The 19,480-nt window shown below is 35.7% G+C and overlaps 1 protein-coding gene across 13 annotated transcripts in view; it reads right to left on the reverse strand.

Moving 5' to 3' along the window:
• Positions 1 to 19,480, reverse strand: part of SLC44A5 (solute carrier family 44 member 5) — a 521,887-nt gene that overhangs the window by 60,696 nt on the left and 441,711 nt on the right. For all 13 annotated transcript variants that reach the window (XM_047449166.1, XM_017000608.2, NM_001130058.2 and 10 more), the window contains one exon: positions 12,134 to 12,218. In XM_047449166.1, coding sequence (XP_047305122.1) covers positions 12,134 to 12,218 — 85 coding nt within the window. The remainder of the gene's footprint in view (positions 1 to 12,133; positions 12,219 to 19,480) is intronic.

Raw genomic sequence — 19,480 nt, forward strand, 5'->3', positions numbered from 1 at the left:
TCACATATCTACAACCATCTGATCTTTGACAAACCTGACAAAAACAAGCAATCTGGAAAGAATTCCCAATTTAATAAATGGTGTTGGGAAAACTGGCTAGCCATATGCAGAAAGCTGAAACTGGATCCCTTCTTTACCTTATACAAAAAGTAACTCAATATGGATTAACGACTTAAAAATAAGACCTTAAACCATAAAAAACCCTAGACAAAAACTTAGGCAATACCATTTAGGACATAGGCATAGGCAAGGACTTCATGACTAAAACATGAAAGCAATGGCAACAAAAGCCAAAATTGACAAATGGGGTCTAATTAAACTAAAGAACTTTGGCACAGCAAAAGAAATTAACATCAGAGTGAACAAGCAACCGACAGAATGGGAGAAAATTTTTGCAATCTACCCATCTGACAAATGGCTAATATCCAGAATCTACAAATAACTTAAACAAATTTACAAGATAAAAACAAACAACACCATCAAAAAGTGGCTGAAGGATATGAACAGACACTTCTTAGAAGAAGACATTTATGCAGCCAACAAACATATGAAAAAAAGCTCATCATCACTGGTCATTAGACAAATAAAATCAAAACCACAATGAGATACCATCTCATGCCAGTTAGAATGATGGTCATTAAAAAGTCAGGAAACAACAGATGCTGGAGAGGATGTGGAGAAATAGGAATGCTTTTACACTGTTGGTAGGAGTGTAAATTAGTTCAACCCTTGTGGAAGGCAGTGTGGTGATTCCTCAAGGATCTAGAACTAGAAATACCATTTGACCCAGCAATCCCATTACTGGGTATATACCCAAAGGATTATAAATCATTCTACTATAAAGACACATACACACGTATGTTTATTGCAGCACTGTTCACAGTAACAAAGACTTGGAACCCACCCAAATGCCCATCAGTGATAGACTGGATAAAGAAAATGTAGTACATATACACCATGGACTACTATGCAGCCATAAAAAAGGATGAGCTCATGTCCTTTGTGTGGACATGGATGAAGCTGGAAACCATCATTCTCAGCAAACTAAAACAAGAACAGAAAACCAAACATAGCATGTTCTCACTCATAAGTGGGAGTTGAACAATGAGCACACATGGACACAGGGAGGGGAACATCACACACTGGGGCCTGTTGGGGGGTTGCGGCTTAGGGGAGGGATAGCATTAGGAGAAATACCTAGTGTAGACGACAGGTTGATAGGTACAGCAAACCACCATGGCACGTGTATACCTATGTAACAAACCTGCATGTTCTGCACATGTATCCCATCACTTAAAGTATTTAAAAAAAAAAAAAAAAAAAGGAATAGCAAGGCACCATTTTCAGAGCCTGGAACCTACTGTACTGCATCCTGTCCTAGGGCTCAACAACCCTTGTGTCTCCACATCCCTGGAGCCCCATTGACATCCCCTACCTGCAGCCATGTGCTGCTGCTGGCTGCTCTCACCAAGGCCAAAGTGCAAGCCATTGGCATTGATCCCCATGTGCCCAGTGGCAGGGCTGCCACACGTTTACAGTTCCCTGAGAAAGATTATTCTGTTTGCAGCTGCCACTCAAGGACAACTTGTGTGATTATAAAAAATTAAAATCATATCAAGTTTCTTCTTAGACCACAATAGAATACAATTAGAAATCAATAATGAGAAGAGCTTGGGAAACTATAAATAAATGGAAATTAAATAACATGCTTCTGAATGACCGTTAGGTCAAGAAAGAAATTAGGAGGAAATTTAAAATTTTTTTCAAACAAAGGAAAACCAAAACACAATGTATCAAAACTGATGGAATAGAGAAAAAGCAGTGCTAAGAGGAAAATTTATGGCAGTAATGACCTACATCATAAAAGTACGAAGACAATCTAACAATGCACCTCAAGGAACTAGAAAAGCAAGAACAAACCAACACAAAATTAGTAGAAGTAAATAAATAAAAATGAGAAGAGAACAAAATAGAGATTAAAAAACAATGGAAACAATTAACAAAACAAAGTTTTTATTGAAAAAAATAAAACTGATAAACTGCTAGCTAGGCTAACCAAGAAAAAAAGAGAGAAGACCCAAATAAATAAAATCAAAAATAAAAGAGGAGACATTACAACTGATACCACAGAAATGAAAAACGCTATCAGAGACTGTTATGAAAAACTGTACACCAACAAACTAGAAAAATGGATAAATTCATGGACACATATAACCTACCAAGGTTGAATCAAGAAATAGAAAAACCAAACAGACCAATAACAAATAATGAGATTGGATCAGTGATACAAAGTTTCCAAACAAAGAAAAGTTCAGGACCAGATGGTTTCACTGCTGAATTTTACCAGACTTACAGAGAAGAATTAAAACCACTTCTCTTCAAACTATTCCAGAAAATTGGAGAGGAGATAATTCTTTATAAGTCATTCTGTGAGGCCAGCATTACTTTGATACCAAAACCAAACAAGGACATAAAAACAAACAAACAAAAAAACACTATGGGGCAATATCCCTGATAAACATAGATGCAAAAATTCTCAACAGAATACTAGCAAACTGAAAGCATATGCAACTGGGGCAGGGGCTGGGGAGTGAAGAGAGGCTGGTTAATGGGTTAATGGTTAATGGGTACAAACATAGAATTAGATAGAAGGAATACATTTTAATGTTCCATAGCATGGAAAGATGACTATAGGTAGCAACAATGTACTGTACATTTCAAAGCAGCTAGGAGATGGGACTTGAAATGTTCTTAACACATAGAAATGATAAATACTTAGGTGATGAATACACTAAATACCCTGACTTGAATATTACACATTTTATGCATGTAACAAAATATCACATGCACCCCATAGATAGGTACAAATATTACATATTACATATCAGTTTTAAAAAATCTTAAATAGAAGAGCATTGTCCTCTTAATCTTTCTTGTTTCCTTATCTTAACCTCATGGGGCCAGGTATTTCAGTCTTGGTAATGGTGCTACATCAGACAATGTTCAAAGTAATTTCGGCACAACCTTTACAAGCTGAAGTTTTTGTAGTAGCCAGTAGGTGGCATCAAAAATCAATCACGTTCTCTTTTTTTGTGGAAATCTCAAAGAAAAGGTCTGTACCTAAGTGTCATGAGCAACTTTCCCAGAGCTCAAGAGGCAGAGAAAGTTACACACAACAACAAAGCACTCCGTTTTCCTTTGAAGTCGCTGTTTCATCTCTTTGGACACCGTAAAAACCCCTGGTGTTTCTCCTAGAGTCTTTTTGGTTAGATAAAGCACAAAAGGCCAAAAGCCACATCTCAAATATCACACCACCTCTAAACATGGACTTTAGGCTCGGTTATTAAGGAATGTCTTCCAGAGTTGGGAATCAAAGGATTGCTTAAATACATCATGACAATTGTTAAAGTCTAACAGGTAAGTTTCCCCATTTTAGAGCTGCCTAAATTTCTTACACATCCTAACATAGATGCATTTCATTTTGGCATAGAAATACACACACACACACACACACACACACACACACACATTTATTTGTGGTGTTTAAAACATGTAATGATACTTTTACAAGCTATGCTATGTTTAAGATTTTTAGGCCTGGGTTAAACAAGTAAAATGGAAAGCCAAGTTCACTGCAACTGTCTGTGTGTAACCTAAACAGCTTAAGACTTAGGGTTAGAATGTGCTACCTTTGCCATTTAATAGACAGTTGAACCTTAACAAGTATTTTAACCTTTCTGAATTTTAGTTTTCTAAATTTCCAAATAATAGTAATAATAGTCAGACTCACTTAGCAGTGTTGTTGAGGACCTGATCAGATCTTTAAGCTGACCTCCACTTTGGGAGCAAATCATTCTTATCTGTGTTACCCCTTTTTTCTCATTCATTTAACAATGAATTTACTGAGCACATATTGTAATGCCAGACAATGCTGTAGGTTCTGAAGATATGACAGTGAAAAAGACAGAGAATGGCCCTGATCTCAAAGAACTTTGGGCCCAGCCCGGGAAGATAAATGAAGCTAACCAATTAATAACCAGGATAAATTCAGGCAGTGATAAGTATCTAAGACAGTAAATCAAGATCTTGTGCCAGAGACTAGGAAGAGGAATGGTGACGGTGCGTGCGGCTGCTTCAGATGAGATTGTCAGCACTATATTTTAGACTTAAAATAGCACACTGCGCCGAACACAATAGATCGAATCCATAGCTTTCTTGACTTTATCTCTGAAGACCAAGAGACTCTTGAAGAAGAAATCTGTGCCTTATTTGCTCTAGTATATTGCATAGTGACTGGCCCATTGGAGGACCTCAACAACATGAAAGTGCTTTTAGAAGGCCAATGCATGCTTCTCCTACATGACTGTTCTCTCATTTAATTTTTGCTTCATTATCAGGAAATAAAGACTGAGGTAGGTTGTGTTCCATGCCATGGGTCAATGCTAGAGGTAAAGTCAGAATTTGACTCCAGGGTACATATTCTTTTGAGAAAATGTTTATCTGGTTTTTTTTTCTTTTAAAGGGGCTTTAATTATGAAGACAATCTATTGTCTCAGCATATTTACTTCTTTTTTAAATTATTTAATTTTGGAAAATTCGGTAGGAATATAAAAGTGATACACATTTTTGGTAGAAACTTGCAATGCACATAAACATACAAGAAAATAAAAATACTCAATTTTCTGTCATGATTCTATAAGGATATCTGCCATTATATTTATTTTTATTTTTATTTTTTTAAATTCAAACAAGGTCTGGCTCTGTTGCCCAGGCTGGAGTGCAGTGGTGCAATCTCAGTTCACTGCAACCTCCACCTCCTGGGCTCAAGCCATCCTCCCATCTCAGCCTCCTGATAGCTGGGACTACAGGCACTCCATCATGCTCAGCTAATTTTTTAAAATTTTTTTATTTTTATTTTTATTTTTTTGTAGGGACAGGCTTTCACCATGTTGCCCAGGCCAGTCTTGAACTTCTGGGCTCAAGTGATTGGCTCGCCTCGGCTTCCCAAAGGGCTAGGATTACAGGCATGAGCCACCCTAGCTGGCCTAATTTTTAAATGAAAAAAAGCTTAATATTTTTCTGCATACATGCTTATTGTGAACCATTGAAACAGCTCAAGAAGGTATAAGGAAGCAGCAAGAATGTTCTTTTTAAAATGTTAAATGGATTCGGTCACTCTTGTTGGAACACCTTTCTATGTCCTTCTCTGCACTTATAAATAATCCAAATACTTTATCAGAGTCCATAGGACACAGAAAATATGACTTCTACCTGTTTCTCAGACATCTCCTCATTCCACCACCCTCTTTATCGGCTACGTTTTGGCCTCTTGGCTTCCTTCTAGTGCTAGTCCTGGTGTATCATAGGGTCACTCATGCCTCAGGACCTTTGCACTTATTGCCTCTGGCTTGAGTGCTCTTCCCAGGGCTTTTGAAAGGCTGGTGTCTTCCTGGTCTTCACATCTCAGTTCAGAAGTCACCTCCTCATGAGAGTGCTTCCCTCACCCCGTAACCACAAGGTAACTACCTCCCATTGCACACCAGTCATTCTCTGTTAGGCCATCTGCTTTGTTTTTTTTCTTCATAGCATTGATCACTATTTGAAGCTATCTTGTTATTTACATTTTTATTGAGAATCTCCCTTTAACTTAAACGTAGGCTTCATGAGGGCAGGTAGCTTGTTCATTTGTTTTTACTATAACCTCAGCCTTTAGAAAACTGTCTGGGATATAATAGGGGCTCAGAAATATGAGAATGAAAATAAAAATATAATCCCATAATTGAAAATAATTACTGTAAGCATATGTATATCCGTTCAGACTTTTTTCTTGCATATGTTTTCATATATGTGAATATAGAGTATACAAGTGTACAAACATACCAACAAAATGAAATTATACTACACATGCCATTTTAATAACTTCATTTCTTGAATTAACAATATATCATGAGCACATTTCCTTGCCAATAAATATATCTCTACCCAATAATTAATGATTAAATGGTATTTTATAATTGACTATACCGTAATTCATTTAATCAATCTCCTATTGAGAAACATTTAGGTTGTTTCCATTTTATTATTACTATTACATAGTGCCTATAACGTTAGGAAATCTATGCAAATTTCCACTAGATGAGTTTCTAGGATGAAAACTGCTGAATCAAAAAGAACCTATATGTTTGATAAATATTTTATAAAATCTGATAAATATCAAATTACACTACTGCCAGTAGAAAATGAGGCGATTTTTTCTCCTCACTCTGGCCAACACCGGAAATTTTAATATTTTAAAATTTACTTGACAACCTATAAGACAAAAATAATATTTTAATTAATTTGCAATTCTTTTTTTAACTGTAGTTGAACTATATTTCTATCATTATTGGCCATTATATTATTTCCTGTTTATGACTTTTACCTACTTTCATATAGGATGATCTTTTTTTCTTTTTGATTTTGAAGAACAGCTCATATAAAAAAGGTGTTGATACATTTGGTCAGATATATATGTTGAAAATATTTGTTTTTCCTAGATTTCCATTTATCTTTCAACTTTGTTTCCAATGAGTTAAGGTGTATTTATGTGTTGAAATTCTTCAAAATTTCTATTTTCTGCTTTTGGTGTTATCTTTAGAAAAGTTTTCTTAACCCCATAATTCTATAAATATACCCTTGCATTTTCTTCTGTTACTTCTATGGTTTTATATTTTATATACAAAATCATCAATGCTTTAGTGTTTATTTTGGTATAAGATATGAGATAAACATCCAATTTTATTTTATTTTTATGAATGGTATTTCAGTTAATTCAATACTATTTATTTAATAATCATCTTTCTGCTACTGACTTGAAATCCATCTTTATCACATTCAAAATTTATATTTTTAATAGGATTTCTTTCTGTCTGGTTTTATGATAGTTTCACATTGTTATAATAATGTTACTATCATGATATATTTACTCCAATATTTTCCCTTGATACCATTTGATATGGTTTGGCTGTATCCCCACCTAAATGTCATCTTGAATTATAGCTCCCATAATTCCCACATGTTGTGGGAGGGAACCCGTGGGAGATAATTGAATGGTGGGGGCAGTTTCTCCCATGCAGTTCTGTTAGTGAATAAGTCTCACAAGAGCTGATGGTTTCATAAGGGGAAACCCCTTTCACTTGGTTCTCATTCTGTCTTGTCTGCCACCGTGTAAGACGTGCCTTTTGCCTTCTGCCATGATTGTGAGGCCTCCCCAACCACGTGGAACTGTGAGTCCATTAAGCCCCTTTTTCTTTACATATTACCCAGTCTCAGGTATGTCTTTATCACCAGTGTGAAAATGGACTAATACACCATTTTATACAATAAAACTTATGCTTAAAAAACTTTTAATATTGACTAAAATCTTGCATTTTTGTAAATATTTTACTGCTGAAAGTCCAAATATAATTTAGAGTAACTTATTAAAATTTTAAATTAATACACATTTATCATAAGAATTAAAACAATCATGAGACTTAAAAATGTACATTAGAGCAGGTTACAGGATTCAGAAACAAATATATAAATTTATTATTTAGTAATTGTTTTAGAAATCAGAGAGGAAATGGGTATATTATTCAACAAACGATTCTGAAATAATTAACTCAACAATTTGGGAAAATAGTTTGATTTCCACTTCAGTCTATATACAAAAATAAATTTCTAGGGAATTAGAAATTTAAATATAAGAAGGAAGCCATCAAAATACTAGAGAAATATTGGAGAATGTTATTTTCAGGGCGAGGAAGGCAATGATAACCCAGACCCCAGAAACTGTAAGGGAAAATCAACAGAATCAACTGTTGAACATATATACATGATTTTCAGTGGTTCCATTCTATTTCATTAAATTGATGGGCCATAATTTACTATCATTCACATATTGTTGAGTATCTGTGTAGTTTCCAATATATTATTATTTTGAATAATACTTTAATGAACATGTTTGTATTAAGCGAAGCCTATCTTTGAAAGATCATTATGTACTGAAATTTGTGCTGTCACATTTTTGTTTGACATAAGTGGATCATTGGCTTATGTCTGGAAAACTTCTTGTTACAAATGCCCTTTTAAAAACAAACTGTCTTAAAGAACTAGAGATTGAGAGATTTGTATGGTTTCTTTTACCACTTGGTGCTCTCTTTGTCCTTCACAGTGTGAAGGTTGCAAAGGTTTTGTGGGCAATGTCTAGAATTTTCTGAGTTACTGAAGTTAAAAGAATTACCTCCCTGGATCAAAATTTAGCCCAGTCATCTCTAACAGGCAATGAGGAGTCAACTAGTCCCCTATAAATTTACCCTGACATGATTAGGAATTTGCCCCTCTCCTTAAATTTCTGGGTTTTCTTGATTGTGATAATTCTACTTCATGAATTTTGTTAACCATTTTCTGAATCTGTCTTTTTTCTTTTCTTATTTACATTTAAAAATTATTTTTAAAAATGTTAATAGTTTTTTGGGTACAGATGATTTTTGGTTCCATGGATGAATTCTTAGGTGGTGAATTCTGAGATTTTAGCGCACCCATCTCTTGAGCAGTATATACTGTATGCAATGTGTTTTCTTTTATCCCTCACCTCCTCATAGTCTCCCCCTCCTCGAGTCCCCTAAGTCCATTATATCACTCTGCATGTTTTGTGTGTGTGTGTGTGTGTGTGTGTGTCCTCATAGCTTAGCTCTCACTTATAAGTAAGAACACACAGTATTTGGCTTTCTATTCCTGAGTTACTTCACTTAGAATAATGGCTTCCAGCTCCATTCAAGTTGCTACAAAAGGCATTATTTCATTCCTTTTTATGGCTGAGTAGTATTCCATGGTGTGTATATACAACATTTTCTTTATCCACTTGTTGGCTGAGGGGCACTTACGTTGGTTCCATATCCTTGCAATTGTGAACTGTGCTGCTGTAAACATGTGTGTGCCTGTGTCTTTTTTACATAATGACTTCCTTTCCTTTGGGTAGATACCCAGTAATGGGATTGCTGAATCAAATGGTAGACCTACCTTTAGTTCTTTAAGGAAACCCCATACTGTTTTCCATACTGGTTGTACTAATTTACATTCCCACCAGCTATGTAAAAATGTTCCCTTTTCACCACATACATGCCAACATCTATTGTTTTTTGACTTTTAATTATGGCCATTCTTGCAGTAGTAAGGTGGAATCTCATTATGGTTTTAATTTGCATTTCCCTGATGATTAGTGTGTTGGGCATTTTTTCATATGTTTGTTGGCTATTTGTATATCTTCTGTTGAGAAATGTCTATTCATGTCCTTAGCCCACTTTTGATGGGATTGTTTGTATTTTTCTTGCTGATTTGTTTGAGTTACTTGTAGATTATGGACACTAGTCCTTTGTCAGATGCATAGTTTGCAAATACTTTCTCCCACTCTTTGAGTTGTCTATTTACTCTGCTTATTTATTTTGCTGAGCAGAAGCTTTTTAGTTTAATTTGGTCCCATTTCTTTTTTTTTTTTTTAGACTTGTAATATTTTATTTCTCACAAGATAGATATTGTATCATGACCAGTTTGCTTTTATTTTTTTTTTATTTTTGTTTTTGTTGCTTTGCTTTTGGATCTTAGTCATGAATTCTTTGCCTAAATCAATGTCCAGAAGAGTTTTTCCAATGTTTTTTTCTAGAAGTTTTATGGTTTCAGGTCCTAGATTTAAGTCTGATCCATCTTGAGTTGATTTTTGTATTAAGTGAGAGATGAGGATCCAGTTTCATTATTCTACATGTGGCTTGCCAGTTTTCCTAGCACCATTTATTGAACAGGATGTCCTTTCCCCAATTTACGTTTTGTATGCTTTGTCAAAGATCAGTTGGGTGTTAAGTATTTGGCTTTACTTCTGGGTTCTCTATTCTTTTCCATTGGTCTATGTGCCTATTTTTATATCAGTACCATGCTGTTTTGGTGACTATGGCCTTAAAGTACAGTTTGAAGTCAGGTAATGAGATGTCTCCAGATTTGTTCTTGCTTAGTCTTGCTTTGGCTATGTGGGCTCTTTTTTTATTCCGTATGAATTTTAGGATTGTTTTTTTCTAGTTCTGTGAGGAATCCTGGTGGATGAGAATTGCACTGAATTTGTAGATTGCTTTTGGCAGTATGGTCATTTTCACAATATTAATTCTATCCATCCATGAGCATAGGATGGGTTTCCATTTCTCTGTGTCATCTAGGATTTCTTTCAGCAGTGTTTCGTAGTTTTCCTTGTAGAGATCTTTCACCTTGTTGGTTAAGTGTGTTCCTAGGTATTTTATTTTATTTTTTGCAGATGTTGTGAAAGGAATTGAGTTCTTGATTTGATTCTCAGCTTGGTCACTGTTGATGGAGAGCAGTGCTACTAATTTGTGTACATTGATTTTGTAACCCGAGCCTTTAGTGAATTCATTTATCGGGTCTAGGAGCCTTTTGGATGAGTCTTTAGTTTTCTAGCTATGTGATCATATCATCAGCAAACAGTGACAGTTTGACTTCCTCTTTTCCAACTTGCCCTTTATTTCTTTTTTTGTCTGGTTGCTCTGACTAGGACTTCCAGTGCTATGTTGAATAGAAGTGTTGCATGTAGACATCCTTGTCTTTTTCCAGTTCTCAGGGGGAATGCTTTCAACTTTTCCCCATTTAGTATGATCTTGGCTGTGGGTTTGTTACAGATGCCTTTTATTACTTTGAGGTAAGTCCCTTCTATTCCTTTTTGTTGAGGGCTCTCATCAGAAAGCAATGCTAGATTTTATCAAATGCTTTTTCTGCATCTATTGAGATTGATCACACAATTTTTGTTTTTAATTCTGTGTATGTGATGTATCACATTTATTAACTTGCATATGTTAAACCATCCCTACATCCCTGGTATGAAACTCACTTGATCCTGATGTATTATCCTATTGATGTCCTGTTGGATTCAGTTAGCTAGTATTTTGTTAAGAATTTTTGCATCTATGTTCATTAAGGATATTGGTCTGTAGGTTTCATTTTTGTTATGTTCTTTCCTGGTTTTAATATTAGGGTGATACGGGCTTCCTAGAATGATATAGGAGGAGCCCCTCTTTCTCTATCTTTCGGAATAGTTTTAGTAGGATCGGTACCAATTCTTTGAATATCTGGTAAAATTCAGGTGTGAATTCATCTGATTTTGGACTTTTTTGTTGTCAATTTTTAAAATTACTGAGCATCTATTCTTAAAATCTGTATATCTCTTGGAATAATATGCTCCATAGTTACAAGTGGGCAGCATAGACAACATAACTGAAGTGTCCTCAGCTATGTTTTTTGTTGTTGTTCTTGGAAGTCAGGGGTGTGGTTGCTTTGGGGTTTTTTTTTTAACCATCTAGAGCCAGCTTTTATAGAAACTGGATTGGTTTTGAAGAACCAAAAGATCCAGCAACCACCCCAGGTTTCCACAGAGAAATGGACCAGTGAGAGAAGAGGGAAGGTTTTCTAAAAATATGAGATTTATGGGGGGCTGCTTGTGTGTGTGGTTTATTTTCTTAGATTAGAAAAATAGACAATGTGCTTTCAGAAATGAAAACTTCTGTTATGATTACCATTAGAAAGAAATTTGATGGAACATTCTTCCTTGTTTGTTTCAGCTACCCAGGGACATTGCCCACAGCAGCCAGGTTGCTTGGAAAAGGATACCAAACATTGAAGACCTTCTGGGTGTGCCCCTTACTTCGAAAGGTGGAATGATTTATCAGTAGACACTGTGACAAAAATAATCTTAACAATTGGACTGTCTAGCTTTGTAGCAGCTACTCATACCTCAGTCTTCTAATAGCCCATTTATAAGGCATTTTAAAATATAGCTTCTGATAAAATCATTGGTCCAATCTATTCATTATAATTATATTTTTATAACTAGAGTCTTCATGCATTCTAATAAAATGCTGCATAACACTGACATCATGTCTTAAGACATATAATATAAAACTTCCCAACTGCTTATAGCTATCTGTTAGAAAAAAGGGAGGGAAGGCTTCCTTTATGAATTTAAATCTTCTTAAGAAGTCTGGTAGGATTACTGTAAAAGTGATATCTAGGTTCCAGTTTAGACAGTAAAATCACACAAAGCAAAGGTGGCCATACTCACTCATTGGGAGTGCCCTTCTGGCCACAAAAGTGGCCCTGGCTGTCTGTAGGATAGGCTGCTCTTCTGGGGTCCCCATGTACCCAGGCTGCAGGAACAAGAAAGGACAAATATGCTATCAGCAAAAGCCAGCTAAAGGCAGTTTGATTTGAGATATTAGAATGCACCACTGCAACACACTAACCTCTCCCCTCAGTCACAGAAGATTATTGATTTTCTTCAAAGAGTAATTTCTTAATGAAAAGTAAAATAAAATATGGATGAACCAGTCAGAAAGCACATTTCTCTTATTCTCTCAGGATTCAGCTGGGTTGTAGCCAAAACATGAGGTAATGCACTTAGAAAATGACATTTATTAAAATGTGAATTAGAGGGCACATTATAAAAGCTCAGTTGGCTAGAAGTCACTTTTTCTAGGGTTCAAAACTAAATGACTTCATAGCAGACCTAATACATTTACAGTAAATAATATGATGTAATACTTTTGGGTTATGCATAGGTGAAAACCATTAAAAAATTCAAAGGGATGAAACTATAATGCCCAATTCAAATTTACTAGTTCTTTATGATTTCATGTGACATTATAAAGGCAAACAATAGCAACTGCAGAGGCAATATGTAATAAAGACTTACCCTAAGTTCTGTCTGATAATCTCAGAGCTTAATAGAAGTATCAAGTGATCTCAAACTTCATGAAAACTAAGGACTTGATTTTCTATGAAGACAATGGGCTCAAACACATTACCCTTATTTTTTAAGAATTATAAACTTAACTTGATAGCTAGACCATAGGACCACAGAGAGTAACGTATATTAGGTCAATTAGGAAATGCTTTCTAATTTTAGCTGAATATTTCTAACTTCTCCAATTTGACTAATACAGTTCCTAAAAATCTGGGAAATGTGCTTGGGTCATCTAATGCTTGCCTCTGAATATGGAAACATATCTCTTTGTCCTTTGCTTCCTTTAACATTTGCCCAGCTATCTCCCTCCCCACATTTATTGGATTTGACATTTCATGTTATAATTCAATCACTCTTATGTATATGGCCTGTGTGACTTGGGAAGATAAAAAAATCAATTCTGTATGAGAATTTCAATATGGAAGAAAATTTTTTCTCAATATTTTTTCTCAATCTAAGCCTGTCTTTTTAGTATCTAGCACTCACAAAAGTCCCCTTTGTCTAATTCTTTCTCCAATGTCATAGAGGCCAAATTGGTTTCATCTTCTAATACCTTCTTATTAAATCTGACTCATTCGGGTAGCTCTCAGCTGCCGTATCTTCCCGTCTCTATTTCCCAGAATAAAAAAGTGGACTACAAATAAGGCATTTAAATAACAAAGTGTTCAATGTGCGATGTCTCCAGACCCCGTATCATTACATTCTGCTTCTATACCTTAGTTTGTCATGTTTTGGCTAAATCTAAGAAAGAGCTTTATTTTACCTATTTTTCTGTAATGTTTTTAAAGCTTTATTCTAAAATGCCTTATTCTTTTTTTTGTATACAATTATTAATTCAGAAATGAGCACCCGAAGCATTTAGATTGTTAGATTTTCCCTGAGTGAGTCACTTAATTATTTTGAGTCCTGACTTTCTAATTTGTTACTACAAAATGAGTATAATAATACCTAATCCCACAAGAATGTTGAGAATATAAAAGAAGATAATGAAAATAGAGTGACTAACATGGTGCTTGGCATACAATATGGACTCAGTAATCTTAGTTCTTGTCTTATTTGGGTTTCCCCAAAAGCAAAATCTAAGACAAGAGCTTTGATGCAGGTGGTTTATCTGGGAGGTGATTCCAGGAAGCTTAAATAGGTATAAGGGAGATGAGACGGAAGGGAGCAAAGCCAATCAAGTGCATGTTAATGAGTGGAATACTGTTGCGGGCAGCTGGGGCTCCATCCCTCTGGGGAACTTCTGCAGAGCCGTGTGGAACATGTCTGTCAGTAGGAATTGTAAAACTGCCCACCACAGCTGCAAAACAACTCAGGTGGGTCAAGGGGAAGCAGGGTCAGGTATCCGCAGCATCTGCTATTGTTTTCTTTCCCTCTTTCATCATCAATTAATTAAGTAAAGGATTTACTAAATGATCATGATGTGTCCCATACTAGAAGTTATACCAATGTGAATTTATGTTAGAGTTCTCAAGAAATACACGAAAAGGGGAGAATAAGGTTTGTAGAAGGTTTAGAGAACAGGTGAGACTTGAGAAAGACTTTAAAAAATAATTAGGATTTGGACATGTGGCTGGAAGTAGGGAAGGATTTATAGATTGAGGAAATAGTATAATAATAAGATCTTTCATTTATTAATTGCTCACAATGTGACAGCTGTTGTGCTAACTTGATTACACCCATTGTCTCAGCTGAGTCTTATAGCATGCCTAAAAGGTAGGTATTACTTTCACCTGAATGGTATAGATAGCTGCAGCTCAGAGTTTAATTTATCACTCAAAATCACACAGCTTTAAGTGAGATAGACAAGGTATGAACTCAGGTGTGTTGCTTGCTTTCTATTGCCTGTGGTTTTAACCACCAAACTAGAAAGGCGATAATGCTTTCTGCAAAAGGATAAAGGAGGAATGAGCTTGTTAACAGGGGGAAAACAAGGACATCAGCTAAATAAAGATCAGCAAAATGTTCATAATGTAGGAAAAGAGATGACAGGCAATTTTGGAGCTTTTGCCATTTGGAGAGAAAAGCTTCTACTTGTGGCAGGGGGAGAAGGAGCATATCTGATTGGGGGGGATCTGAGTGTCTGGGGATAAAGGAGAGAGAGATGAAGATGGAAGTGTCAAGAGAAGAATACTTCTTCTTGACTTTCTGGTTTTGAACTGTGGCAGGTGGTTGTGTTTACTGAGCTGCTGCTACACCTCTCCACACAGCCTCTGGCACAGAAGTTGTGCTGCAGATGGTCTGTGTTTGAGCTGAAACATAAAGACTTTGAGCTGAAAGCTACAAAAAAGAGGAAAAAAAGGAGATGGGCAGCAGCCATCATTTTGTCCCTATTAATAAATTAAGGAGCTTCTGACATTTTACTCCCTTTCTTGGAATTTTTCTATTCATGGAACATCCAAAACTATGCTGTCCAATATGGTAGCCACTACCCATGTGTCTATTCAGCACTTGAAATGGCTTCTCCAAATTGGGACATACTGTAAGTGCAAAATACACATCATATTTTAAAGACATTATAAACAACAACAAAGAAGAATATCTTAATTTTTATATTGGTTACATTTGAAATATTTTGTTATATTTAAGTAAATAAAATATATTAAGTTATTATTAAAATTATTTTCACCTGTTTCCCTTTATGCTCTTAAATGTAGCTATCAGAAAATTTAAACTTACACATATAATTCACTTTATATTTCTCCTGGACAGATCTGTTCTAGTAGAAAGAACAGTGTCAAGGGCTTCTTTAAGGTGATTATGAGTGCCATAACATCACCAGTTTGTATGACAGTCATTCTCAAGCACATCATACCCAACACATCCTTTTTATAATAGTTAACAATGCTCCTTGTACAATCTTGAAATAATAGTCACAGATAATATATCTCAGCCAAACTCATAATTTCCTTTAAAAAGGCAATAAAATATCCTATGTAATATGAATGAGAAATAATAAAAAGTAATTTATAATTAAATAGTATGCACATCAATATGCAAATGCTCAAATGTGACTAAACTGGAAGAGATGTGAGTAGTCAAGTGCTTACACCTACAGGTAGAATCACTGTGAATGTAGCAGCTTTAAGTGCAGGAGGAAATATGTATATTGAATAGGAAAATCAAATACAACAAGTGGTGTGTTTTTAATAATATAATTTTCCTAAATGAACAAATTTTAGCAAATTCTAACAACAAAAAAGTAGAATCTTCTCTCAAATTCCCTTGGTACTTATTGCAATCATGCAAAATAACTTTTATTACTTTATTTTATTTTATATTGTTATTGATATATTATAGTTGCACATATTTTTAGGGTACACATGATGTTTTGATACATGTATACAAGGTTTAATGATCAAATCAGGATAATTGGAATATCTATCACCTCAAACCTTTTTCTTTGTGTTGGGAACACTACAATTCTTGTCTTCAAGCTATTTTGAAATACACAATAAATTATTGTTAACTACAGTTTCCCCACTGTACTGTCAGATACTAAAATTTATTCCTTTGAATGGCATATTTGTACTCATTAACCAACTTCTCTTCATCTCTCCCTCCCTCATTCCCTTTCCAGCCCCTGCTAACCACCATTCTACTCTGTACCTCCATGAGATCCACTTTTTTAAGTTTTTGTAATGTTAGAACAGAATTTCTAGATTCAAATATGTGAAAACAAGTTTTCACCTACATCAGTGGGACATGGGAAAGTCAAGCAGAAAGTGAGGTGTAGGAGTAAGCCACCTTGAAGGCACATCCTCCACCCTAACTCAAGCCTTCAGTTGACTGCAGCTTTGGCTTACATCATAACCACAACTTCATGAAGAACCTGGACCCAGAACCACCCAACCAAGCTGTGCCTACATTCCTAACCATGGAAATTGTGAAATAAGAAATATTTGTTTTTTAAGTTGCCAAGTTTGAGTGTAGTTTACAATGCAGCAATAGATAATGAATTATTATATAGTTTTGAAAAAACCTTTTTTTTGTTCTTCAGAATTTATCTTATAGCTTTTTTACCCTTTGGCTTATATTTTGAATTAATGTATAGTATCCCCAAACAGTTTCCTTTTTTTACAACTTATAAAGTGTATGTTTGTATGTATGTATACATGTATGTATGTATTTTTATTTCAGGGTTTTGGGAGAAGAGGTGGTGTTTCATTACATGGATAAGTCCTTTAGTGGTGATTTCTGAGATTTTGGTGCACCTGAGCAGTGTACATTCTACCCAATGTGTAGTATTTTGTCTCTCAACCCCTCCCACTTTTTCCCTAGAGTCTTCGAAGTACATTGTATCATTTGTATGCTTTTGCATCCTCATAGCTTAGCTTCCATCTATAAGCGAGAATATACGATGTTTGGTTTTGCATTCCTGAGTTACTTCACTTTGAATGATGGTCTCCAGTTCCATCCAGGTTGCTGCAAATTACATTATTTCATTCCTTGTTATGGCTGAGTAGTATTCCATTGTGTGTGTGTGTGTGTGTGTATATATATATATATTGTATATATTATATATTGTATATATAATATATATTGTATATATTATATATTGTATATATAATATATATTGTATATATTATATATTGTATATATAATATATATTGTATATATTATATATTGTATATATAATATATATTGTATATATTATATATTGTATATATAATATATATTGTATATATTATATATTGTATATATAATATATATATTGTATATATTATATATTGTATATATAATATATATATTGTATATATTATATATTGTATATATAATATATATATTGTATATATTATATATAGTATATATTATATATAGTATATATAATATATAATTGTATATATTATATATATTATATATATATATAAAAAAACACCTTTTCTTTATTCACTCATTGATTGATGGGCACTAGGGCTAATTCCATATGATATGGTCTGGCCTTGTGTCCCCACTAAAATCTCATCTTGAATTGTTATCCAAATTATAATCCTCACGTGTTGGAAGAGGGATCTCGTGGGAGGTGATTAGATCATGAGGGTGGTTCTACCATGCTGTTCTCATGATAGTGAGTGAGTTCTCATGAGATCTGATGGTTTTATAAGGGACATTTCCCCCCTTCACCATGCATTTCTCCTTCCTGCCTCCATGTGAAGAAAGATGTGTTTGCTTCTCCTTCTGCCATGATTGTAAATTTCCTGAGACCTCCCCAGTCATGCTGAATTGTGAATCAATTAAACCTCTTTCCTTTGTAAATTACACAGTCTCAGGTGTGTCTTTATTAGCAGCATGAGAACAGAATAATACAATAAATTGGTACAGGAATGGGGTGCTGCTATAAAGACACCCAAAAATGTGGAAGTTACTTTGGAACTGTGTAGTAGGCAGAGGTTGGAGCAGTTTGGAGGGCTCAGAAGAAGACAGGAAAATGTGGGACAGTTTGGAACTTCCTAGAGACTTGGAGGGCTCAGAAGACAGGTAGAGGTGGGAAAGTTTGGAACAACTTAGAGACTTGTTGAATAGCTTTGACCAAAATGCTGATAGTGATATGGACAATGAAGTCCAGGCTGAGATGATCTCAGATGGAGATGAGGAACTTCTTGGGAACTGGAACAAAAGTGACTCTTGCTATGCTTTAGCAAGGAGAATGGCAGCATTTTGCCCCTGCCCTAGAGATCTGTGGAACTTTGAACTTGAGAGAGATGATTTAGGGTATCTGGTGGAAGAAATTTCTAAGCAGCAAAACGTTCAAGAGGATGTGGAGCATAAAAGTTTGGAAAATTTGCAGCCCAACAATGTGACAGAAAAGAAAAACCCATTTTCTGGGGAGAAATTCAAGCCTGCTGCAGAAATTTGTCTAAGTATCAAGCAGCCAGATGTTAACCACCAAGATAAAGGGGAAAATGTCTCCAGGGCATGTCAAAGACTTGAAAGGCAGCCCCTCTGATCACAGGCTCAGAACCTAAGAGGGGAAATTGTTTCCTGGGCTGGTGCCAGGCCCCCCCCCCCCCCCGCTGCATTTAGCCTAGGGACTTGGTGCCCCACATCCCAGCCACTCTAGCTGTGGCTGAAAGGGGCCAGGGTATAGCTCAGCCCATTGCTTCATAGGGTGAAAGTCCCGAGCCTTGGCAACTTCCATATGGTGTTGGTCCTGTGGGTGCACAGAAGACAAGAATTGAGGTTTGGGAACCTTCACCTAGATTTCAGAGGATGTATGGAAATGCCTGTATGTCCAGGCAGAAGTTTGCTTTGGAGGTGGAAACCTCATGGAGAACCTCTGCTAGGGCAGTGCAGAAGGGAAATATAAAGTCAGAACCTCCACTGGGGCATTGCCTAGTGCAGCTGTTAGAAGAGGCCCACCATCCTCTAGATCCCAGAATGGTAGGTTCACCAACAGCTTGCATGATGCAACTGGAAAAGCCACAGACACTCAATGCCAGCCAGTGACAACAGCTGGAAAGGGGGCTGTACTCTGCCAAGTCACAGGGGTGGAGCTGCCTATGACCAAGGGAGCCCACCTCTTGCATTAGCGTGACCTGGATGTGAGACATAGAATCAAAGAAAATCGTTTCAAAACTTTAAGGTTTAATGACTGCCCTATTGGATTACAGACTTGCATGGGGCCTATAGCCCCTTTGTTTTGGCCAATTTCTCCCATTTGGAATG

This window comes from Homo sapiens, chromosome 1 (assembly GCF_000001405.40).
Source record: "Homo sapiens chromosome 1, GRCh38.p14 Primary Assembly".
Taxonomy (NCBI): domain Eukaryota; kingdom Metazoa; phylum Chordata; class Mammalia; order Primates; family Hominidae; genus Homo; species Homo sapiens.